This window comes from Homo sapiens, chromosome 2 (genome assembly GCF_000001405.40).
Source record: "Homo sapiens chromosome 2, GRCh38.p14 Primary Assembly".
NCBI classification, from domain to species: domain Eukaryota; kingdom Metazoa; phylum Chordata; class Mammalia; order Primates; family Hominidae; genus Homo; species Homo sapiens.
In genome coordinates this window covers 40,617,327-40,643,905 of record NC_000002.12, presented here as the reverse complement: position 1 = coordinate 40,643,905, position 26,579 = coordinate 40,617,327, and the positions used below count along the sequence as shown (strand labels likewise).

At 32.6% G+C, this 26,579-nt stretch overlaps 2 long non-coding RNA genes across 3 annotated transcripts; both read left to right on the top strand.

The window, feature by feature from the left end:
- The first annotated feature begins 220 nt into the window (after nucleotides 1-220).
- On the top strand, nucleotides 221-10,997 carry LOC105374475 (uncharacterized). The gene is made up of 3 exons (XR_939986.2): nucleotides 221-4,679; nucleotides 4,761-4,813; nucleotides 10,490-10,997. It is a non-coding gene; the product is annotated as an uncharacterized LOC105374475 (long non-coding RNA).
- An 11,754-nt stretch (nucleotides 10,998-22,751) lies between these two features.
- Nucleotides 22,752-26,378, top strand: LOC105374473 (uncharacterized). Of its 2 annotated transcripts, XR_001739420.1 has the most exons (4): nucleotides 22,752-23,240; nucleotides 23,587-23,641; nucleotides 24,984-25,130; nucleotides 25,277-26,378. It is a non-coding gene; the product is annotated as an uncharacterized LOC105374473 (long non-coding RNA). The 2 variants fall into 2 exon arrangements; XR_939985.2 differs by having other exon boundaries at nucleotides 22,752-23,641.
- The last annotated feature ends 201 nt before the right edge of the window (nucleotides 26,379-26,579 follow it).

Sequence of the window (26,579 nt, the reverse complement as noted above, 5' to 3'; positions counted from 1 at the left end):
GAAATATGATTATCCAAATAAATGCTAAAAATAATTTGCCTAAATCTAGCAGTAATGCTTAATAAATTAAGAAAACTATATAAATATGACAAACTACTTATTAAAATATAGTAAGTACTACACTTAAATGATAAACCCTACAGTACTTTCATTTAAAATTCAGAATTAAACAGGAATAATTTCTGCTTATACCCATTATTATTTAACATTGCTTTAGATATTCTAGCAACAGTAAATGAATCAAGGAAAATAAAATAACTGTAATAACCCATAGAAAAGAAAAAAAAGCACAACTGTTTTTCTTAAAACATGTGCATATAGACACATACACATTTTTAAACAGAAAACCTATAACTCACTAGTATGAATACAAACCAATGTACAAAAATGCTAGAATTAATAAAAGAATATTTGACATTTTGGGGATAAATGAGACTCTTTTAACTCCTTTCCCATATCTGGTTCATTTAGAAGTTCAGCCTTTAAAGATGCCAGATATATAATGCTAGTTCTCAATTTAAATTATCCACTAAATTAAATTACAGGCATAAACTCATCAAATGTTAGAGTTGAAAGATTTTTGGAAGATTTTATATTCCAAACCTTAGCACACTACAGAAATACCTTTATAAACCATGGAGATGGCCACCAAACCCATGCTTAAAGCATGCCCAACTAGAGCAAGCTCGTGATTTCACAAAAAGTATGTTCTACGCTTAGCTGAAATATGCCTTCTCACAATTTCCTTCTATGAGCTCCAGCTCTCTCTCTTAAAACCCTCACAACATAGACTTAAAACAGCTGTCCTTTTTCCATCTTCCATTGACACTGATAATCAAACTATCTCTTATTTTCAGCAACTATCATAGTGTAAAAATAAAGAAGGCTACTGCTGTATTGTCAATTGTTTATAACATTCGTGAGAAAAACAGACATTGGTACAGAGCTCTGTATTTGTGGACCCACTATATAATACGTGACAAATGAAGTTATTGTCCATAGAGTCTTCCACACTGCTTCTTGAGTTTGCATTATCCCCTAGTGGTTTATAAGCATGACTGATTGAGGCAAATTTGAAAATGTTAGTCTATCTGATTCACTAAGACTTCACCATAAAGCTCAACATTAGGCACTCAAATTTTCTGTTCTTTCTGCTTTGGCCAATTTGAGATGGCATCAGGGAATCAAGTGTTTCAAATCACAATACAGAAAAATAGAACTCCAATTTAAGAAATACCCCAGTTGATGATGATAATTAGGAGGAGGATATATATTCTTCTCTTACAATAGCATCATTTTTAAAAGTGAGAAACTTTGGCTCAAAGGAAAAAGTTAACACAGTTTATGTAGATATATTAGCCTAGTAGTTTTAGAAAATATGTTTCCAGTTTATTTTACTGAGCTGCGTTAGGCAGTCTGCCAAATCAGGTTATGTGAGAACAGTAGAATGGTAACTCTGGACTCAATTACAATTGAATTACCAAATAAGCAATGCAAAGGACATAAAAGAGACAAAAAAAAAAGCAATCAAGCCAGTGCAGTGCTCTGTTGCTTCCTAGTTCTTCTTGGAAATGCACACACAATTATGATTCCCAGTGCTGCTGCTCCTTTGGGGTAAAGACAGTCTCCCAGATCAGAGGACCTCAGAACTGTGGGCTTCTTGTCCTCTCGTTATTTTATACCATTAGGTCAGAGGAGGAGTTACGTCAGCACTCCTCACCATTTAGGGAGATGGATTTTGGTGTCCTGAGGGATGTTTGCAGTTTATTTGTTCCTACTTCAAAGAAAATACTTCTATATTTCATTTAGCAGAAATAAAAAGTTACGTGATTCCAGAGTTTTGTACAGAAGGTTTGTCCATGACCTATCATATGTCAGTTCTGGACAATCATCTCTATACTTACATTTGAGTGCTTTTGAAACATTCGAAATGCAGATATTGAGAACTGGAATTTGTCATCCAAAAGAGGATGACTATGAAGGTAGAAACTGTTGTATAATAATAAATGTTTAAAGAAGTGGGTTGTTTACCCTCTGGAAAAGTGAACTGACTATGGTAAATACAATACGCTTAACAAGTATTTTGTGAGTGAGAGAAGTTGGTTTCAAATAATTTATTTAAGTGTATTTGACTGTTCCATTTCATTGAAAAGAAACGGTAGTAGAAAACAGATTTTAATTTAAATTAAGAAAAGAGCATTTTCAGTGTTAGAGAGGTTCGACAATAAAATCAGCTGTCTTATAATCAGCTTATAATCCCACAGATCAGCCCATTAAAAAGAGGCTGAATTATTTCTGCCAAGCAAAAAAAAAAAAAAAAAAAAATCAAGAAGTGGTCAACTGTGTCAAATATTGCAAATAGTTTAAGTTAGACAATGACAGGAAATGTTCTATTGTATTTAGCAAACTAGAGGTCATTGCACACTTTTTAAAGAGCCATTTCAGTGAAGAGGTTATGTAATTTTAATGAGAGTACTTAAACTAGACATCGGTCAGCCCCAAAACTAATTAACATATACATCTTCACTTCAAATAAACTTGTATAAAAGTTTGATCTGTAGCATAAGGAATGTGCTGGTAAGAGATATTAAATGATGCAGTTTACTATGTAAGAAACACTTCTAACATACCAATAGTCTGCAGTTCACACGACATTTATGCCATCAGTCAGGAGTTTGACTATAAGCAACTAAAAATCGTTGAAATGCTACCTTTCAATGTAGATAGCATAATATGCCATTTTAGAGATATAAAAATTAGGTGAGTCACTAAAGTCCAAATAATAGCCTACTAATATTAACAAATATATATAGCATTTTTACTCTATGCTAGACATCATTCTAAGTAATTTACATGTATCCATGTATTTAATCCTCATAAAAACTCTGATGGTATGAAGTCTTATTACACCATTTTACTGATGGAGCAAATGATGCACATGAAAATATGTGCCCAAGGTCATTTAACTGGTGAGATTGCAGAACTAGAATTAAAATCCAGTGAGACTGGCTTCAAAATCTAGATGCTTAAGCAGTCACTCCGCTGCCTCTCACAGTGATAGTAACTGAGTTGTGATTTAAATCCACATTTTGTACCCCCAGCAAACTTTTATTTCTACTACTTCTCAGGTGCTAGAAACCTCCCAGATTTGTAGTGGAGAAAGAGAAAACAGCTTAATTTATAATTATGTCAAAGAGGGGGAAAAGTGCTTATAATTTATAAAGGAGCCAGGGCAGGCAGAGTTTTGCCCAGAATTAGAGAACTAGTCTTAGAGAAGGAGAGAGAGAAAAAAACATTTGATTTATTTCCTTGATATCAACCTCATCAGCAATAGGTTGCATGAAACTTCACCAAGAATACTGCTTAAATATTAATGTAATATGACAGATAAAAGTAACATGACAAAACATTTATGACAAATATAAATTAGCTCTGCGGTTTTATATGAGCTTTGCTCTGTTCTAGTCTTTTGATTTAATCTTTTAATTTGAAAAATCCTTCCAAATTCAGAATAACTGGTGATGTGTTAGGAGTTTATCATTACATGCCATTCATTGTCTTCCTAAGAAATACAGTATTTTGCTAAATAAATTGTGATGCACATTAAAAATGGATACAAAGTCTAAAAGAGGTAAAGATGTTTCTTCCTAACTTATCAAGGAAAGGTTCCTAGATGAAAGAATATCAATAAATAAATTTAAAATCGGTGGCATAATGTATAGCCACGTAGAAAATTAGCTTTTACCCAAAACACATGTGGCTCAAATTTTAGCCCCACTGTGCTAAGATTAAAGGCCACCAGGGTAAATGTTCTTTTTTGCTTAAAATTACACTAAATTGTTGGTCTTCTCTGCTGGACTATACACTCCTCAAGGATAGCAACCATATCTTATTTACCTTTATGCACTTCTTATCAAAAGAGAAATAACTTAGGCCTGAATTGAGGAAACTATTTCTATGTCTATACCCATCAGATGTGGCTAAAGAAGAGACACAACTAGATGTTAGAAATGTTGCTACACATTTATTTAGGAAGGGTGAAAATCTCCAGTAATTTTAATTAGACAGACTACTGTCTATGTAAAAGCTTGACTGTTACCCAAAGGCAAAGAATGGCAACCCTTCACTTACTGAGTTTTTTTTTTTTCTACCTCTAAAACTATAACATCAAAAACTATAAGGAAGACAATGACCGTAACATTTCTTACAATGCTCTTATGTCATCATAATGTAACCAGCTCCCTTGAGAGTTCAGCACTCCAGCATTTTTAGTGGCTGAAATAATGAAAATTCTAATTAGGCTTTGCTTGCTTGCTGCACAAAAGCCAACATCCCTTGTTTCCACAGTATAAACTGCTGATGTACTGTTTCTTTGCCAAGCAGGAGGAGGTGACTTCAGGGTCATGAAAAAGATTTGCAGAAGGAATGGACATGGCGACCAGCTGCTGATACTCAAGGGTCTGGTTGCTCAAGATGTTTTCTGAGACTGAAGACACACAGACTTTTCCCCTCGCTTCCCTGAAACTCCCCCTCCCTTAACTCTCTAGCCACATAAAAATTCCCCGCTTCTTTTTGTTTAGAGGGATTTGAGAGATCTTGCCTTCTCATGTTGGCCAAATTGAAGAAAGCTTTTTCTCCAAGCAGTTGTTTGCCAGTGTTTGGTGTTAACTGCACATCAGGTACATAAGTCTAAATTTGGGGTTCTGTAACAATGACACTATATTAAAGAATTACAGAAATGTGTTTTCTGCCCTTTACAGGTTCATAATTTATGGTGGATAACTTATAAGCAAATAATTAAAGATCTACAAAAGTAAGTAATTACGCACACACGCTTGCATGCGCGCGCACACATACATTCATCAAACACCCCCTAAGCATTGTGTCCAAACAAACCTGAATCAACTGACTTCTGTTCTCAAGAGTTTTTAATCTAAGGGGAAAATAAAACATATACATTTAACTTATACTAAATTTTTAAATTCACTATGACACAACTACCCATGTAATCTCCCGGGTGCCTGATGATGTACCAGATAAATGGGGTTAATATATAAATTTTTTTTTATATAGATTCTAAGTATCTTCTGCAGTTGCAGGCACACAAGTTCTCTCTAGTGTTCCCTGGCTTAGGAGAGTTTGCTTATGATTTTTAAAAGACTTTTAAGTGATGCTAGAAAGCAATTTTGGGATGTGCGAAATGATACATTACTTTGGGTTTGAAGAATTTATCTTGTGGGAGGTCTGCTGTATGTAAATTAGATTGCCTTCTATAGAGGACGTGATACCTTAATGATTTCTAAGGTCTCCAAATTTAATCATCAATAGTTCTAAATAGAACATTTTCCAATAAGTTTGTCAATTTGTCTCATGTTTGATATCAACTAAAATTATTTTGTAAAATGTCTCCGTTCCAAACAAATTGTGCTTCATATGTCTAAATTTCCTTCCCAAGTACCATTTGAGCAATGCAGTCTGTCTTTGTGAATTTTTATTGCAGACTGGTATTGGGATAATACAAGACATATTGAGGAGAAATCAGAACATTAGTATGCATTCCTATAAAATATTTCCATTAGTGCCTCATTTATAATATTCTGGGACTCCAACAGCATTACAATCACGGAAAACAGAAAATAAATGAATATTATTTTTGTAACATACTTATGCTACTTTAAATGATCCCTATTCCCATTCTTATCTGAGTGAGAATAAGATATAATTAATTTTAAAGACTCAAAGATACATCAAATAACTCTTATTTATGTAAACATTGAAAAAATGAGTTTGCTGTCAGAAACCTCACTTTTTCCATACATCTGTTTATTTATTAAACATTTTCTTTTAATCTTAAGAATTAATCCTGAGACTTGGTAAAACAATTTTTTGGTAGTAAATAAAACTATTTTTTCCTGCAAACCTGTTTTTCCTTTTCCCATACATCTGGTTGTGATCTTTGTATGTCTGTACTCAGTCTTTAAACAATGATATGAATTTTATTGGAGGAAAGGGAAAGAAAGGGGTCAGGGATGCAGTAAATTACTGTTTCCTTTGTTTTATTTTAATTACAATTTATTTCCCACTTAAAAATATTTTTGTAGAATATGATGATTGCATCATTTGTTTTTTACCAAAAAAAAAAAAAAAAAGCTATGGAACTAAATAACACGGACATAGGAAATGATGATATGTGTTTCATGGAGCATTCTAAATACCAATTTGGATAATTTGAAGAATTTAAATATTTTCTCATTGAATAAAATTGACTATGTATTTATGGCTAGAGACATTTTATTTTAAACTGAAAGTTCTGCCTTGTTTATAGAAGTAATATGTGCTGGACTTCATTTCAATTTTCTTTAAATATCTATGGATATTTTGTATACATTGTAGGAGACTTTCTAAAATAAATGAAACTTGTGGAAATATAACAGGATAAACTTAGGAGTTCTCTTTATTCATCATAGCCATGGTAAAGGAAAAAAAAATATCCAGACAGAATAATAGGTAGAGCCAGAAAAGGAAGGAGAAAGAATGTGGACCAGTTCCTAGTGAGCTACAAATTCAATCAGATGGTTAATGGAAATTGAGGTTGATGGATTATGGCAGAAAACAGAGCCAGGTGGGGGAGAAGTTTTTCACAGAATCAGTAAAGGGTTCAATCAGTAGACGTAAATGGGGTCACCATGGAAAAGGGAGCTGGTTTCTAAATCTGGTACCTAGCTAACATCTTTCCAGTATGAAAATAGTTCTATAGGGGTAAATGTGTGTCTTGCAGGTTTCCCAGAAGACTGTCTTGAATGAACCCTATATTCAACTTTCATTTTTACATAACAAGTTACCACAACTTAAGCAGCTTAAGATGAAACCCATTTATTCACAATTCTGCAGGTCAGAATTCAGAGTGAGCTCGACTGGACTCCCTGCTTAGGGTTTTACAAGGCCAAAATCAAAGCTGTGGCCAGACTGGGCTCTTATCTGGAGGCTCGTTTCTAAGCTTATTTATTTCTAAGCTCATTCACAGTGTTGGGAGAATCCAGTTTCTGGTGACTGTTGGTCTTATGTCCCTTTATCTTTGCTGGCTGTTGGCTGGGAGCCATTCTTCATTCCTTGATGCCACGTGTGTTCTTTCTCATGTGGACCCTCCATCTTACAAACGTTTATTAATGAGCCATCAAGTCTTTTTCATGACTTGAATCTCTCCGACTTTCTCTTCTGCCATTAGTCACAGAAAACTTCCTGCTTTTTAAGGGTTCACCTAGTTAGGCCTGCATCTGATAACCTACATATTTTACAAAAACTGGGTCAATTGATTAGTAACCATAATACCACCTGCAAACTCCCTTTTGCCATGCTATGTAACTATGAAAGAGATGTCCCCTCAGATTACAGAGAAGAGAATTAAACAAGGTGAAGAGTTATTGAAGGTCATTTTCAGAAGTCTTTCTACCATGTGCCTTTTGGAATTTAGAAGAGTGGATATTATCAGATATTTACACTGAATGCCACAAAAGCAGATTTTTTAAAAGGGCACTCAACACATTGATGAATCCACATAATCAAGTAAAGCCAAATCATAGACTGTACCTCTAAATATATTTTTAGAAAGTAAAACCATAATTACTATAAATCAGCAGGTGTCAAGGAAGAATATATATTCATACTATAATCTTGGAAACATGATTATTAGGGAAAAACAATAACACAAAATTCCAGAGTTTACTAATCTTTGCCTATATCTCCTCTTAAAGAAAAAATAAATGCATGGTGGAAGTGAAGATACGTGCATATATATTTAAAATATTCACTAACATGTCTCCAGTTTGGAGTCCAGCTGAATGGCAGAATATGAAAAAAAGCTCAGGGAAAATATGCAGATAATTCATTTACTGCAGAAGCAGTTCTGGATCAATTTAGCAACTTACCAAAGTCAGAAAATTGCTATGTCTTACCGTTTGCTTTTTAGTGAGAAGCAAGCTAGAGGGAGAAGAGCTATTAATCCTAATTGCCCAGAGCTAATTATCTTCCTCAATTAAGAAAAAAAAAAGAAGCTAGTAAAAAGAAAGGGGGAAAAAAAGACCACACCCTCTAACAGATTGTGAGGTGGGTGGAGAACTATTAGCACAGCCAAGGGAATAGTTCTTCTCTACCACAGAAGAACAATGTCATGGCCAAAACCCTTGGGTTTATCTATCACTTCACTCATTCGACTGGGAAAAACTTAGAAATAGCTGCTGGGTAGAAGCAGGTAGAGTGGGAAAGTTGAACATCTGAAGACGGTTATCTCTGTCTGGAGAAAGTTTCATGCATTCCATCCTGAATTGGAAAGAATTACAAGAAGTCTGAAAGGATTATCCGTACAAGTACAACACACAGGTCTACTGAACACAAATGCAAGGTTTTATAAGCAATTTCAGAAGGAAAAGCAAAAACCAACCCCAGCAACCACTATTGGTCAGAGCCCTAGCCAAGATATCTAATTCCCCTCTTTGTACCCTCAGGCAATGGAACTGCATACAGACCAGTCTTCAAATTGAAGCTCTAGAAAAGTAAATTAATAAACAGATCTCTAAGATAGCGAAAAAGGAGTCAGGAAAATTAATCCTTAAAAACAATTCAAGATCTGGGAGCAGTTTTTATATTAATCACTAGTAGGATACAAATATATGATAGTGCAGCAATGTAAAATAAGAGTTTTATGTGGTTGTGGCTTAGCTAAACACAAAACAAATGCCCTGCTCCACCTAAGGTCTGTATACACACAACAGCCACCCTACCCCAGCAAGCTATGGATTTTGGAGGCATGAACAAATGCAGCTGATTGAATTCTGAAGCCACTATCGGATGCAAGGAACAGTGGTTATTCCACATAATTTCCTTATAATATTATCTGTGAAGAACATCCAGCAAGTACGTTATAAATGACCTCATATCCTTCTTAATACACTCTTGTTCTTCAACCCATGGTTACAATCTGTTGAACAAGTAATTTTACCTACACCATTATTTAGGTCCATCAATACATTCTAACCCACTGGCAAACTTAGATTAAAATCAGCAGGAACTCGAGAGGAAACACCAGAGCAGGGCATGCAAGAAACAAGGGGGTAAGGGTGGGTAAGAGACTCATAATAGTAAGATAAACAAGCTTTAATTTAAAGACGTGCATACAACTTTATAACAGAATACATTTTTCTGAAGTGCATGTGAAAAATTCGTAAAACTTTACATCAGACTTCGAAAAGATTCCAAATTCATATAAAAGCATTTTTATAATTATACCTGATTTGAAGAAATTTCTTTTTCATCCTGATTTAAAGGAAAAGAGATGAAAGTTCTATTTCTATATTTTAGTGGTGGTTTCATGGGTATTTGCTTTATAAATATTCTTTAGACTGTACATTGTATTTTACGCAATTTTCTGTACAACTAGTTTTTGTGTTATAATTCACAAATTAAAATAAGTATACAAATAAAATATATCACAGTCAGTCACAATTTTAGTCCAGATTAAAGTATATTAATGAAGTGATCTGAAAATAAAAAGATTTCTAAATCAATCTCTTAAGTGCTATAAGGGATAAATGAATGAATATTCATCCAAAAGCAGGTGAAGGTATGGTACAAACACAGAAAAACATAAACTAGGACCAATTAAAAATGAATAAAAGCCAGTTAGAAATTGTGAACTTAAAATATATTTTTAAAAATACTTCTAAATTTAGTAATAGACTAAGCTCAATTAAAGAGAGAATTAGTAATTAAAAGGCAGTTCTGAAGTAGTTACCTAAAACTCTGCAGAAAAACAAAGAAAAAAACTTAAAAGAGACTAAATTATAATTTGAATAGGATTTTGGAAAAATGGAAAGGTAGGCGTGTGTTGAAGTAATGTTTGAAGACAAAATAATTAGAAACAGTCCAGGACTAAGCTAAGAAATGGTGTTTAGATTTAAAAAATGCATCCAAAATACCAAGGATGGGTGCAATGGCTTAGGCCTGTAATCCCAGCACTTTGAGAGGCCAAGACAGGAGGACTGCTTGAGCCCAGGAGTTCAAGACCAGCTTGGGCAACAGTGTGAGACCCTGTTTCTACAAAAAGAAAAGAAAATAACTAGGTGTGGTGGTGCACGCCTGTAGTCCTGGCTACTCGGGAGACTGAAATGGGAGGATTGCTTGAGCCCTCGAGTTGAAACTGCAGTGAGTTGAGCTTGTTCCACTGCACTCAAGTCTGGGAAATGAGAAAAATACCTTGTCTCATTAAAAAATAAAATAAAATAAAAGTAAATCTTCACTGGATACATAGTAGTGAAGCTGCAGAACATCAGGTACAAAGAGAAATGTTAAAACAGAAAATAATGCAATTCACAGAACAGTGAGGATACATGGCCATAAAAATGTGGAAAATATGCCATTTTATTAGTAACTGGGAAATACAAATTAGAGTTATTCTTACTAATTTTTACATATTTGGTTCTTTTTAATGTAAAAGTTAAATAATACCAAGTGTTGGTGAAGCTGTGGAAAAAGAATCCTCTCATAATGCTGGAACCAAGATACACGATGAAGGTAAAGTTAGTGGGTAATTTGGTAGTGTGCAGGAAAACAAAACAAAACAAATGCATATCTATAACCCATGTACAAGAATATCTGTTGCAATGTTATTTATACTAGAAATAAAATTGCCTAAGACACAGCAATTCTTAAATGTGTTACAGTAAAATTACACTATCAGATGCTATTTATTACTTACAGAGAATAAAATCAGTTTATATGTTCCTACACAGAAAGGTCTGAAAAAGAGATGTTTTTCAGGGAAAAGTAGATGCTGCAAATATATATACAGAATGATACCATTCATTCCATAAAAAAGAATGGGGCAGTAAGAAAAAAATATCAAACAAGCAGTGCCTTTCTTTTGAGAGAAGACAGGATTCTGTGCCTAGCCAAAGGGGACTTCAGGTTTTTGCTTTTGTTTTGTGATGGATTCTCGCTCTGTTGCCCAGGTTGGAGTGCAGTGGTGTGATCTCAGCTCACTGCAGCCTCTGCCTCCTGGATTCAAGCAATTCTTCTGCCTTGGCCTGCAAAGTAGCTGGGACTACAGGTGTGCACCACCATGATCAGCTAATTTTTGTATTTTTTGTAGAGACGGAGTTTCACAATGTTGGCCAGGCTGGTCTCAAACTCCTGACCTCAAGCGATCCTCCTGCCTGGGCTCTGAAACTGCTGGGATTACAGGCATGAGCCACCATGCCTGGCAGGAATTTAGTTTTCTTTGCGATATTTAAGTACTTTTTATAGTCATGCAATTCAAAGTTTGTTTACAAAAATTAATAAGTGCAAAACTAAATATAATCAGGAACTGAGGGCTTACATTTTTTTGCTATCTCAAGGGGAAAAAGCAAAGAACAGCTGACAAGTGTGGTTAACCTCCTCACCAGTACTAAAGTATATAAAACCTTACGTGAATAGAATTTCATATATAAATTTATATATATAAATTTATATATAAATTCATATATAAATTTCATATATATATAAAATTATATATATAAATTTATATATATAAATATATATAAATTCATACATAAATTTCATATATAAATTTCATATATAAATATAAATTTCATATATATATATAATTCTACAATGCTTCTAGAAAGGTAATTCTAATAAGATACATTCTAGTTATTTCCTGATTTATATCTAATAGAAAATGATGTTTGGCTACAAATCACACAATTACACCAGGAAAAAACCAAGACTCAGAATACCATGATATTGAATGACTGTTTATTTGAATCTTTAAGGAGGCTTCTGACTGTTTTGTATTAGTACCTTCCTTTTTTGTGTGTGCTATTGAAGAATTTTAATTAATTCCCTTAAAAACCAATAAGTAGGTTTAGGAGAATGTTAGAACCAAACAGAGTATAAATGAGTTGCATTAATAATATTCTCAGCTTGAATCATTCACCTGTGTGTAAAGACTCTAATGTTGAATGTGAACTAATACCATTAAGATACATTTCCTTAGTAAGAGGAAGGAAAGTTAGGGAAGCAGGAATGAGTGATACTAATATCAGTTTTATTTTACATCATGCTACTTCTCTGAAAAGGACGACAGTCTTCCATCCCTCATATCCTTGGGGTATTGGTTCCAGGACCCTTGCAGTTATCAAAATCTGCAAATGCTCAAGTCTCTATGTAAAATGCCCTAGTATTTGCAAGTAACCTACACACATCTTCCTGTATACTTTAAATCATGTATAGATTACTTATAATACCTAGTACAACGTAAATGCTGTGTAAGTAGTTGTTACACTGTATTTTTTTAATTTGTTAGTTTTTATTGTTGTATTGATATTTATATTTTATTTATTCTGAATATTTTCTACCTATGTACTGTTTGTTGAATTTGTCGATGATGAACCCTCTATATAGAAGGTCAGCTGTATTTGCATTCATGGAAATATTTTTTTCAGTTTATTCTGTTTCCGATTTAGTTAGGGATTCATAGTTTATACTCATGCAGCAGAGGTAGTATATGAAGCACCAAGTCACTGCGATTTCTCAAACCTCAAATGTAGCAATATTAACATGATGCCAAATGATTCCAATTAGAAGTGAAAAATCCAGGTGCACATTTTGCAAAGTTTAGTCTAAGTCTGTAATCATTGGAATAATAATTCCAAAACTTCAATTTAGGGAAAGATTTGATATCAAGGAACAGTGTTTTCCTCTGAGCATATATATGGTATTTTTGTATTAATATTAAAAGTAAAAATTATCAATGCATGATTTAAATACTGAAGGCCAGCAACATACACAGTGTATTTCCTTTATTTATTTGAAGTAGCTTTTCTCGCTATTTGTGTCTCAGACAGATAATAGAGAAGAATGATAGTCACACACAAACCTGTTGTAAAATTAAATTATTTTGTAAAATAGCCCATGCATAATTTAGTGATGCTACCCAAAATGCTTTTTGAAAACTTAAAAAAACATAATGTCAAAGTTTTCTACTTATTGTTAATAGTGGGTTATATATAAGTTATGTATAGCACTGGCAAAGCACAGAGAGCCGACATAGCAAAATAAAATAAAATAAATTTCATATTATAATAAAAACATAAAGTACAGAAATGCATCGTGGCTGTCTAGTGATGAACTTCTAGTTCTGGGCTTGACTGTATAGAAAAATCTTAAGTCATCTCTTTGACTTCCTACCAATCAAAAAATTAACAGGAAAAAATTAAAATAGCTAGCTTGAATAAATGAATTCAAGATAGAAATACACTAATTTGTCATGAAAGTGCTGATGACAGATGACTTATTCATTTTCCTACCAGTTCCTTGGTCATAATTGGCATTGTTGATAAAAATAAAATATACAACTGCACTCCAGTCTGGGTGACAGAGTGAGACCCTGTCTCAAAAAAAGAATCAAATAAAATAGAATTAAAAAACATACAAAAACTTCATTACTGTATACACTGAAGGACAATGCCATTTTTCCCTATATGAGGGTGCAATGGAAACCATAACCAAAAGGTAGTTCACATAAGACCTTGATAGGTTTCCTGGGACATATAGGAAGAAATGTTGGATGTAATATGCCAAAAATAAGAAGTTGGCATCATTTTTATATTTGCAAAAATCTGAATATTCTGATGACTTTGCCATTTTTGTTTGCAAAAGAATTTGTCAGGAATGTTAGTAAAGGAGAATTAACATCTTAGCATTATCATGACTTTTTAAATTACTTTGAACTCTGATTCTTCTGATTTTTCTAGCTTCCAGGTTGTTGGAAATCTTTTTACGAAAATTCAACAACTCACACTTATATTTTTCTGTTTTGAAAAACCAAGGGGATTCTTTGGCAGGCTAGATAATCTTCAAGCAAAAACCAGTATTTTTAAATGCGTTCTCAGGAAACCTAAAAGCTTTATTTTTGGCAAAACGAGTCAAGATGCTGTCAGTTACCTCCTCCAAGATGCAATTACAGTCAGCACTAAATAATTTTGAGCTTCCGGCAAGATGTCATATTCAAAAAGGTTCTCAAAGACCTATAAGCAAATTTGTATCTTCTAAAATAACTAGCAAAGCAAAACTTCACTTAGGCTATTTTCTGGCAGTTAGAACATGGTGGAAAAGTTTGGTTAATGCCTGGTTTATATTATTGACTATTACCTTCATGAAGAAAAACATTAAGATTAGTTTTCCCTTTATCAATTGCCAAGAAATTCTTTGTCACCAGTTTTAAATTTTCTGAGAAGTGAAAGCAAGTTTAAAAGCCCCTGAAGTTTGTTGTAGCTTTTACCAGGAGTATCTGTCTTATTATTAGTATAAGACTTTGAATTGCACACCATCTACCTAGCTCCCAGATGCTTAAAGAATATTAATGTCAATTACCCGGGTGATAAAATTATCTGTACACTAAACCCCCGTGCAATTTACCCATGTAACAAACCTGCACGTGTACCTCCTGAACCTAAAATAAAAGTTGGAAAAAAATAAAGAATATTAACATGTGTATTCTCCAAACATCTCAAAAAAGTTATGAAATTACTAACATTATTTCCATAGTACATTTATGGACACTGAAATAAGAACATAGAAATGGATTCATCAAATATCTTGAAGAATTCCAGTGGTATAAAGTGATAATTCAAACGATGTTTTCTGCTAAATCTCCAAATGCAATTGTCATTGTCAAACTAGAAATAAAATGTACTGGGAGAAATTGTTTCAATAAATGTAAAAAAATGTATTTATGACTACAATTTCTATGCTAAGCCATATTAATGGGATTTCTTTTCTGGGTTATGGTCACACCAAATGATGCAGAAGCAACTTTATTCCATCAAATGATCGACTATAGGTAACATGCAGCTAACATATGAGAGTTTTAAAGATGAGCTTTAAAATATCCAAATACTACTTTGCATTGATTCACGCTACACAGAAGAAAAATTGAGGATATGTGAATTCGCTGCCCTGTAGATATGAATCTTGATGTGATGTCCTCGCATTATTCTTTCAATAAAATGATTTTACTGTCCAAGTAAGTAAAAATGTCTTTTCCCATTACTTGCTTACTCATTCTAAGCCCATCACATTAAGTCACTGCTCAGGGAAGTACCTTAAAAATACTGGAAAATAGAAAGTGCTATTTAAAGTCAAGTTCTTGTCTACTTCCAACTTAGGAAATATTCTACAATGCACATGATGGGGAGCCAGAAAAAAAGGCTGTGTGTTTTATTCACTGTTAAATAATCTATCCATATTCCTGAGCAAGGATATTTCATCAGGGTATCACATACTATGTAATATTAGCTCTTTTCTCTAAACACAGTGTTTACACAACTTGAAAAATACTGTCCTATTGATGAATATTATGTATGAATGTTTAATTTCATATATGTTTATGCTTTAATAGCTCTTCATGCTTTACATTAAGAGAATGAACTGATTTACTTAAAAATACTTATACCGAGCTACTACTGTATGTCAATCCTTGTGGGAATTCAGAGTTGATTAAGGTATGAGCAACTCAAGAAGCTTTTTTGCAAATAATGCACTTACTATAACCGAGTCATACCTCAACACTGTAAATTGAAGCTTAGATGTTCTGCTTAAAATTATAAACATATAAAGCTAAAAGTCCTTCAGTAATGGAAAAAACACAATATATTCAAATTTTGCATATTTTTGCAAAATCTGTAAAATTTTGTTTGCTTTATAATTTAGAAATTTGGGGTGGTATACCATTAAATTAGAACATATCATATAATCTAGAAGAACAGAGCTGATTTCATGTACAGAATATTACACAGAAGACTCAGAGGCAGTAAAAAATGAAGAAAAAACTTATGGCTTATTGGTAATCTGAGAAATACAAATTTCAACCATAATAAAATGACATTTTAGCCCATCATTTGGAAAAAAGAAAGGAAAGTCTGATAATACCACATGGGAGCTAGAATATGGACCCACTAGGACTTTCATATGGCTGACGAGAGAATAAATTAATACAATATCCTGAAAAAGAATTTAGCATTATCTTGTGAAGTTACATATGTGTAAATACAAGACTCAGAATCTATTTCTAGGTAAAAATCTTACAGAACTCTTAGGCATGTGTGCCTGGAGACCTGTATAAAATGTTTATGGAATTACTGGGCCCCAAATTACAAAAATGTAAAATGATTATAAACATGGGAATAGAGTGCTACAAACATCACTATTAATGACTATCAAAAACATGTCACTGGATGCCAGAAACAAGACAGAATTGTTTGGCGCATTTTTCTATTTATACAACTTTCAAAAATACACAAACTAAACAATAAGGGTATACAATACGTAGCAAAACTAAAATGAAAATTAAGAAAAAAACAATTTGAGTTATAATTGAGTTGGAGAGAGACAATGTTAATCTACGGAATGCCAAAATTAATAATACTCTATGTTTCTTCTTGTTGTTGAAAACCTGTTTATTCTATTCTTTTTACCTTCATGTATATGTTCTTTGTACTAACTGCATATATATGTGTGTGTGTGTGTGTGTATATATATATATATATAAATATATAAAATATGTATAACATCATCACAACGGCCCTCTATAGCTCTTATAATGCAGCTCTTATTTTACTTATGAGTAACTGAGGCACAAAGAGGTGAAGTAACTTTATCAAAGTCACACTGTTTATAAGATACAGAGCTGGGATTTGAACAGAGAGTTCAGAAACTGAAGGTGGCCTTATAACCATTAAACTCCACTAAGTATCTGCATTTCAACAATGTAAACAATAAAAGAAAGAGAAATAATCAATTATACTCTGGTGACCCTTCAAATAATAATGTAAGAAAAATGGTTAATGAAATAGAAACAATAATCCTTAAATAATCATGAAATAGTATATTAAAGTGGAATGTTGAAAAAATCTAGACTGTTAAATGTAAAATTGGTTTTCACTCTATGTGCCTGGCTTATTTCACTTAACATGTCTTCCAAGGTTACCAATGTTGTCTCAGGATTTTATTCTTTTTAGTGGCTGAATAGTATACCATTGTATATATATACCACATTTTTTTCATCTACTAATCTGTTGAGAGACTTAGGTTGATTCTATATCTTGGCTGTGAACAGTGTTACTATGAATATATGCACACGTGCTTTTTTGAGTATCTGTTTTCAAATCTTTGGGGTGTATGCCCAGGAATGGAATTGCAGGGTCATATGGTAATTTTGTTTAACTTTGGAGGTGTCACTAAACTGCTTTCCAAAACAGCTGAACAATTTTACATTCCATCAGAAGTATATGAGGGCTTCAATTTCTCCATATCCTAACACTTGTTACTTTTAAAAAATTATTAGTATCATATTATCTGAAATTTCATGCTCTTTAAAATGTAGTCACTGAAGTCCTAAATGATTCTATGGACAAAAAATAATAATAATAAAAATAAAAAACTATCAGAAAACAAATCAAAATAAAAGAAAACCCAAACCATATTTCCTGCACATTAAGAGAAATCTTTCAAAATCTGCTTCTATGACAGGATTTCAAAATTCTCATTTTTATGATAGGCAGACATAGGTAAAAACATGCAATATTAGAATACTTCTTTTTCTTTCTTAATGTTATGAGTGGAGTATTATACCTAATATAGGAAGGAACGTGAAGGCTTCAAAATAATATTTATGCACCCCGGTGAGATATCTGTGTGACAAAGATCAAGGAGGTTTAATTAGCAACTTCTTGACTAAATAAAGTTAAAGGCACTCTCTCAGTTAAAATGTGGATGTGGCATTTAATGAGTCAGAGATTACGCTCACAGAACCTAAATTGCACACATGATGATGAGTAACTTTCCCTTCATAGTAAACTCACTCAACAGGCTGTGTCTGTTCAAAACAGAAAGCTATAGAAAATAGAGAAAAAGGAGATAATTACCCAAGATTGCCAATGTAATAGAAAACCAGCCTTAATTATTTCTCTAAGAGTTCTATGTAAGTGTCAGTGAACACAATATTCCCTCATTTCAAAGACTTAAAGCAGGTAAATAAATTAAACACACACATAAAATAGTGAAAAATTCTTTAAATAAACTCAAATACAGAAAATTATAATTAAACCCTCCACTTTTGGTGGCCCTCAAATAGTAATAAAGAGTTTCATTACTTGTGCTTATTAGCTAAATGTCCACAGTATCTTATTAATTACACAGGTGTTCCATCTTTATTAAAGCACCCAAAAAGATTTTAGAGGATCTTCTAGTAGACTAAAAACTGCCTTAAAAGAGCAGGAAGGAAACATACATCAACATACTAGATAAAACACAGTGTATTCATATTCTCTGCTGATCACTATGCGAGGCATGTATATCCTCATACTAACCCTGTGACATAGACGGTATCATTATTCCAATTTTACAGTTGGAGGAAACAAACCTCAGTAGTTAAATAACTTGTACAGGATCACACATCTTGTAAGACATACATCAGATTTCAGATCCAGCCCATCTGACTCCAGCAGCTTCATCAATATCATCTGAGCAATTAAAAAAATTATACCCCCACTATTAGGACCATACATAAATGAAAGCTCTTCCCTGGCCCCTGGATACCCAGTACTTAATATGCATACCAAAATACATTAAAGCAATGCCTGTAGTAATATTATTTGCAATAGCCTCAACCTGGAAACTACTCATATGTCCATCTAAAGCAGAACTGATACATAAATTGTGGTATATGCATACACTGGAATATTTCATGGCAATAAAATGATGCACTACAACTACATATTTTATTTTTAAAACAAAGGAAATCATATTGTTTTTCCTGATTATAAAGCAATATTTTATCAGTATGAAAGAAATAAGATATAAAGAAAAAGGGAATAATAACCCATAATGCCATCACACAAAGATAACATTTTAGTATGTAGTCTGACATTATTTTTTCTAAAGATAAACACATACAAATTTAGATATAGATGTATAAAGAGCAATGAGGAGAAGGGAGAGAGAGAGAGCATGAGAGAGGTATCCTGGCACATATTAAGACCTGATATTACTAGCTTGTTTTTATTATAATCGTTATTATGGCTATATGTAGTTGTAGTGCATCATTTTTATTGCATAGAATATTCCAATGTGTGCATATACTACAATTTATTTATCATTTTTGCCTTAGATGGACATACGAGTTGTTTCCAGGTTGAGGCTATTGCAAATGATATTACTATAAGCATCACTTTAATGTATTTTGGCACACATATTAAATACTGGTTCTCCAGGGGCTGGGGAAGAGCCTTCATTTACAGTATTCTACAAAATTCTAAGGTAAATACTATCATTGTGACCAATTTCAAGCTACCATTAGTCCAAGAGTAGGATCAAAAACTTTCTGAAAATTTAACAGCTGGCTCTCAGAAGGCAGTACTAGCTGATTTGGGCACACCACAACTTGAGTATATATACTTTGAAATGAAATTGCTAATTTATAGAGTATGTACCTAATCAACTCAACTCTAGTGGATAATGTAAAATACTTTTCCAAGGTAATACTACCAATGTGCAGCCCTCCCCAGCAGTATATGAGAGTTCCCATTGCCTGTTAGACTGTTAAATTTCAGTCATTCTAGCAGGTATGTGGTAGTATCCCACTGTGGTTTTATTTTCCTGATTACTGGTGAGTTTGATCAACTTTTCATTATCCTTTTGATGAACTTTTGAGTCTTTTGATGAACAGTCTTATTATATATAGTCTAATTCATTCATCTGAACTTATTTATTAGTGTTTTTGTTTTGTTTGATAAATATTTTACCTATTTAGGTCATAAACATATTCTCCTGTATTGCCCTCCAGATATTTTATTGTTTTGTCTTTTATATTTTGATTTATTATCTGCATAAAATATTTTTTGAGTGACATGAGGCAGAAGCCAAATTTTATTTTTACTTTTATGGATATAAAATGTCCCAGCATGATTTATTGAAACATACTTCCCTTACCCAGCTTTGGAGTAGCACTCTTTTTATAAATAAACATGCCACATATGCTCAGGTCTTTTTCTGGGCTCTCTATTTTATTCCACTGCTCTATTTGTCTATCTTTACAGGAATATCACACTATCTTATTTAGAGTAACATTATAAAAAGTCTGGATGGAACAAGCCCACTCTATTCTTTTCTAAGCATAATATGGCTTCTTTAAAAAAATAGATGTATTGAGGTATAATGCAATTACAACACACTGCTTATATATAAAGTGTCGATTTCCTAAGGTTGACATATGTAAACACCTATAAAAACATAACAAATCAAGATAATAAATATGTCCATCACACAGGATAGATCCTTTTTGCCCATTTGTAATCCCTCTATCCCTTCCCTCCATGTACTCTCTATCCCCAGGCAATAAGTAATCTGTGTTGAATCAGTTTAAATTAATTTGCATTTGCTAGAATTTTATACAAATGAAATAATATACTATGCGTTATCTTTTGCCTGGCTTTGTTTAGTCAATATAATTATTCCAAGATTCATCTATGTGTATACGTTGCACATATAAATGGTCATTTTCTTTTATTGCTGAGTATTGTATTAATGTGTGAATATTTTACAATTTGCTATTCATTCATTTGTTGATGAACACTTTTGTGGTTTTGAATATTTGCCTGTTACAATTAAAGTTGCTATAAACATTCAAGTTATAAGTCTTGCATGGACATGTACTTCAATTTCTCTTGAGTAAATACCAAGTAATAAAATGAGGATATGTTTAACTATGTAAAAACTCTGTCAGATTTGTACCAAAATGGTTGTACCATTTTATATTCCCTTAAGAAATGGAAGAGTTCCATTTATTCCACATCACTAGTACAATTTGCTATGGTCAATCTTTTTTAGACATTTAAATTGATTGATATGTAGTGGTAACTCATTGTGGTTTTAGTTTGCATTTTTCAGCTGATTAATGATGTTACACATCTTTTCATTGGCTTTACAATTACCTTCATGAAGTGTCCATTCAAATCTTTTGCGTATTTCTTAAATTAAATTGCTTCTCTTCTTGAGATTTGAGATTTAAAAATATATATATTATTCATACAAATTCTCTATTAGATATATAAGTTACAATTGTAGTCTTCTGGCCTGCGGCTTGTCTTTTCATTTTCTAAGAGCAGAAATTCTTAATTTTGATGAAGTCTAATGTATCACTTTTTTCTTTAATGGATCATGCTTTTGGTGTCTTAAGAATTCTTTGCTTAACCCAAGGTCACAAATATTTTTTCCTATGTATTATTCAATGTGTTTTATAATTTTAGATTTTACATGTAGATCTGTTATTTATTTTAGTTAATTTTTATGTATACTACAAAATATGTGTAAGTGTTCACTTTTTTCTAGTCAGATTGTACTTTCTTCACCAATTGAATTTGCAATTTTATAAAAATCAATTAATGTTTTTTGATTCAGGATTCTTTCTCCACCTCAATTGATCTATTTGTCTATGTTGATTATAATAAGGATTTAAATCCGTAGGGTAAATCTTTCAAACTTTTCTTTAATTGTTTTATCTATCCTACATCCTTTGTATTTCCATACCAATTTTAGAATCAGTGTATTGACTCTTATTAAAATTGATTTGATTTGATTAGGATTGCACTGAATCTAGAAGTCATTTGGGGAGACTTCACAGCTTAAAAAATTAAATTTTCTGATCCATAAACATGCTATCTCTCTCCATATATTTAGGTCTTTCTTTGAATATCTGTAGATCTGTCATTATGTTACGTCTCTCATTTTTAATATTAATAACTTGTGTTTCTCTCTAGTTTTCCTCCTGATTAGTCTGATTAGAGGCTTATCAAGTTTACTGATCTTCTAAAAAAAAAAACCATTTGGCTTCACAGATATTCCTGTTTTTTGGGTTTATAGGTCATTACTTTGCATTATTATCTTTATTATATTATATCCTTTTTCTTTTATTTTATATTTAATTTGGCTTCTTTAGTTTCTTTAGGTGGAACATCAGGTAATTGACTAGAAATTTTTCTTGGTTTTTGACAGAAGTTTTACATGCTGTAAATTTCCTTTTAGCTACTGCTTTACCTGTATAGGAGAAATTTTGAATGTTAAGTTTTTATATCCAGTCCCAAATACTTTCTAATTTTAATTTTTATTTTCTCTTTAGTCTGTTGATTATTTATAAATATATTATTTGTTTCTAATATTTATAAATGTTTAGATGTATTTCTAACATACATTCCTAATATTATTCTGTTTTATTATTTAACAATTTTTGTATGTTATATTTTTACTGCTTAAATCATTTGGAAATGTACTTAGCTTTATTCTGTAGCTCAAAATATGGTCTATCATGGTACAAATTCTGTTGAAAATATACATAGTGTATATTATGCTCTTGTTCTATGGAGTGTGCTCTCAATGATCATTCCTATTATTTTACCCAAAGGCAACAGCTTTCAACATTTCATAATTTATTTATCATCTATTATTTTCTTCTGTACATTTGTATTAAATAATAATTTACTGAACTATAATTCCTGGTGTCTCCATTTAACAATAAAAGCATTTTCCAAGATAAGTACATACAAATTTTTATATAATTTCAAGATATACAGTATTTCTTATATATATGAGCTATGTTTAACTTAATTATTCATTTGCATTCAATGATTGAATTAGAATCATTCTAAACATGATATGGCAATAAATATTAAAAAATAAATATAACATCTAATTTTCATTTTATAGATTACATTCAAATATTTGCAATATAAAGTTATTATGGTTATCTTTGTGCAAGAAACTTTGACATAATTCCAGATTATTTCCTTAGTAAATGGATAAATATAAATGAATTTTCTGGATAAAAGGAAGTGTAGTATTTTAGATTTTTCACAGGTTATCAAATTGATTTCAGAAAGTATGTACCACTTTGCATTCCTACAGAGGTTTTATAAATACCTCTGTGTCACTATCCCTCATTAACAGTAAATATTGTTTTTGTCAATTCTATAAATAGGAAACATATGATTGTTGCAGACATTTATCCTGTTATTTGTCATCATGATACATTTTGTTATATGTTTTTGGGGTATTCTGCAAAGTGTTTTAACCCTTTCTTTCTCTTTTATTTCTATTAAGGTAAATTCATTGATTGATTGAATTGGGTTGTGCACAAAAAAGGAAAATAAAAGGTAACACTTTGAGAAAATATTAGCACTTACAAATCTATAAGACAAATATTAATGAAACTTCATGGTCCAAGATTGTTTGTACCTCTATTTGCCTGAAAGAGCACAGTGGAAAACGTTTAAGGTTCTTATTTTCTAAAGTTTTATATTTCTACAACATTGAGCCAGTTTTCTAGAGGAGAGAGACTGAAGAATGGCAGCCATGCAACCGGAAAATTCTGTTACTGTGATGCCTGTTCCCACTTAGATAGCTTTTTCTTATTTTGATATAAAACCTTTCCCCCCTTTATTTTGATTTTTTTAGTCTTAAATAATCATATTGCCTTGCTTTTATTATTCTATTTCTTAGAATTTAAGGGTGTTTTCCTGACTTTCCTGATGGATGACCTTGCTAAAAATTCCAGGTACTGCTAAAGGTTCTTACATAGTTCATAATACAGTTATATCATCTGCAAATAGTGTCTTTTAGGAAAAACATTACTTAACAGTTGTCTAATCAGTGGAGACCCACTGCACTTCCACCTGGAATGTACTACATTGGGAGTTGCTCCTTTAAGAAGCAATTTTCAAAAACAGAGCATCTGACTGTAAGACTTTCATTTGTGGCTCTTATTTAAAATCAATGACAATCTTTTCAGTACACAGTCTTAATGATATTGCATATCCTTTATGCAACACATATTTATGTACCATTATAAACCAGGTAATTTTATAGGCATTGTTGGGGGACAGTGAAAAAAAGAGACAACAACAACAAAAAAACCTTGCCTTAAGGAGTTTAGGTATACATCTCTGGATAAAGGGCATCCGGCAAGGCCTCACTTTCAACCATTCCAAAAGTAGGTATCACATGACCGAGGTATCTGGAGGACACCCACAGCTAACCTTTGTATAGTCCATGTGACCTGCATTTTTTTTCAAACAACCCTACATAGCCCCTTCTCATGGAATAACACATCAATAGGTCAAAATTTAATTTACATCTTTTGATGAAAGAAGGCTTAAGAATAGATCATTCTGGTGCTTTATTTGACAATTATTTATGCACATAGTTTTATTACATAGCCATGATGAAGTTACATATGTGAGGGAAAATGACATGAAATTTAACTGCTATTATATGAAATCAACAAATATTTATTGAGCACTTACCATGTATGCAGCATTTTTGTAACCCATTTGAAGAAAGCAAAACACAGATGTTTAAGTAACTTACCCAAGAAAACTGATAAAGCAGTGGACTAGAGGTGAGGAGGAACTAATATCAGGACCTACATTTTAATCATGATGCTATGAAGATTTTAGCTACTGGATTAAGAGTGTTCTAGGGTATGTTTTCAGATCAGTTTAAATTAAGCCAAAAATCACAAACCATTCATATCTAGTCTAATGTTAAAATAATTGCTCAGTGGAGTTCCAGGGCTATCAAGAAGAGATGACACTATGTGAAAAATATGAAAATAATGTGTGTTTTTGTGTAGTTCACCTAAAAAATTGTTTTGTTGTTTTATATAATGACCTTTTTTTAAGATTTCTGTAAATATCCTGACAAGGGCAGTGTTTTAGAAATGTCTTTAACTTAGACATCATATTCCTCATTGGAAAGACACTTGCCAGCAAGGCTACACGACAGTACATTTTTAGAGCCACCTATAACTACATGGGCCATTAGAGGTAAAAGCAGAAATGGGATATATGACCTTTAGTACTGGAGAATTGACTGTAAATATCACTTGTTCCATCCAGGCGACGCTGGTATCCAGAGAGGGTTCTGTGTGAAAAGAGATTCCATGAGACAAATGGAAGAACAAGGAGAGGCGAAAGGAACAATAGAGGTCTTTCAGAAGCAGGTCAACAAACATTGATGCAGCATTTTCTTTGTGCGTGTTGAAGGTAATAGGTTCTTGGTCCTCTAATATACTGCAAATTCACCTGGCTGCTACAGTTTTATTCTGCTACAACTCACTGTCTGTAATTTGATCCTTTATCCTTTTCTTTAGGTCTTCCTACAAATTAAAGTTTTGTCTGTTTGTTTTTAGTAACAATGAGCCTCAGAACTTCTAATAAGCAGCATAATTGCCATGTGGAGAAGGCTACATTATACAACACCAATTTCTCTCTGAAGATCCACCACCTCCGGATGAATGTTACTGATTCCTACTGTCTATTTCATAGATCTTCAACTCTTGTTCTTTTGTTTAAAGATATGAGTCTAAGCTTAGACATATATGATGCTTTCAATTCAAAAATGTTGTTTAGAAAAGGCGCTCATTTAAAGAATTTGCTGAAAGCTAAAGGATAACCAAAGCAAAAGGCACACACAGGGTAACATAAATCTAGAATATATGTTTTGCCATATGTATTTTTCTCATTTCCAATCTATTGTTAAATACATGGCATCCTCCTACCACACCCTTACTTCCACTAGGCAGAGCATCCATTTATTCTCTACCATGCACAAGTCTTTGGCTTCAAAGTCATAGGTTTCCATGGTTACAGTTCTTCATTGGTGTTCTTATTTTCCTCAGGTAACTGATATTAAACTGGACTTCCCTCTCTTGCTCAAACCTCTGAGGTCCTCATAGGCTAGATTATCATCAATATAATATGACAACCTTAAGATTCATATTAAACACAAACACTCTTGGTAATTGGAAGGGAGAAAGTGAGAGGGAGGAGTCTTGAAAGAGAATATTGTTTCATTACCTTTTCTTTCAATTTTTGGGTAGCTTTTATGGTCGTAAAGTAGCCTTTGGGAAAAAATATTGGAGACACTTGCAGTTTTAAGGCTTTATCAATGTCTGGTAATGTGATGTGGAGATGATAGAGCTTAAATGTGATGTGTTAAGCCACTGTTTCAGCACATTTAAGCCATGACTAAAAAGAGAATTATGAATATACCTGTAAAAAAGGATAGATGAGAAATAAAGAAGTGTTGAAGCATTCGGATGACTAGTGAAGGAAATCTCTTAGTCTAAATTGGTCTGATAGTCTTAAAATGTGGAATAGAACGTGGAGAAGAGTCCATAACTATCGAGCCATAAGAGTGTAATACATACTAGAAGGGTATTTGGGGGCTCAGGAGGAGGTGGGGATGGTTAGCAGGTACAAAATAAAATAGAGTGAATGAATAAGACCTACTATTTAACAGCACCATAGGGTGACTATAGTCAATAATAACTTAATTGTACAATAACTTCTACAATTTTAAAATAACTTAAAGGATGTAATTGGATTGTTTGGAATTTGAAGGATAAATGCTTGAGGGGATGAATAACCCATTCTCCTGAATGTGCTTATTTCACATTGCAAGCCTATATCAAAACATCTCATGTACTCCAT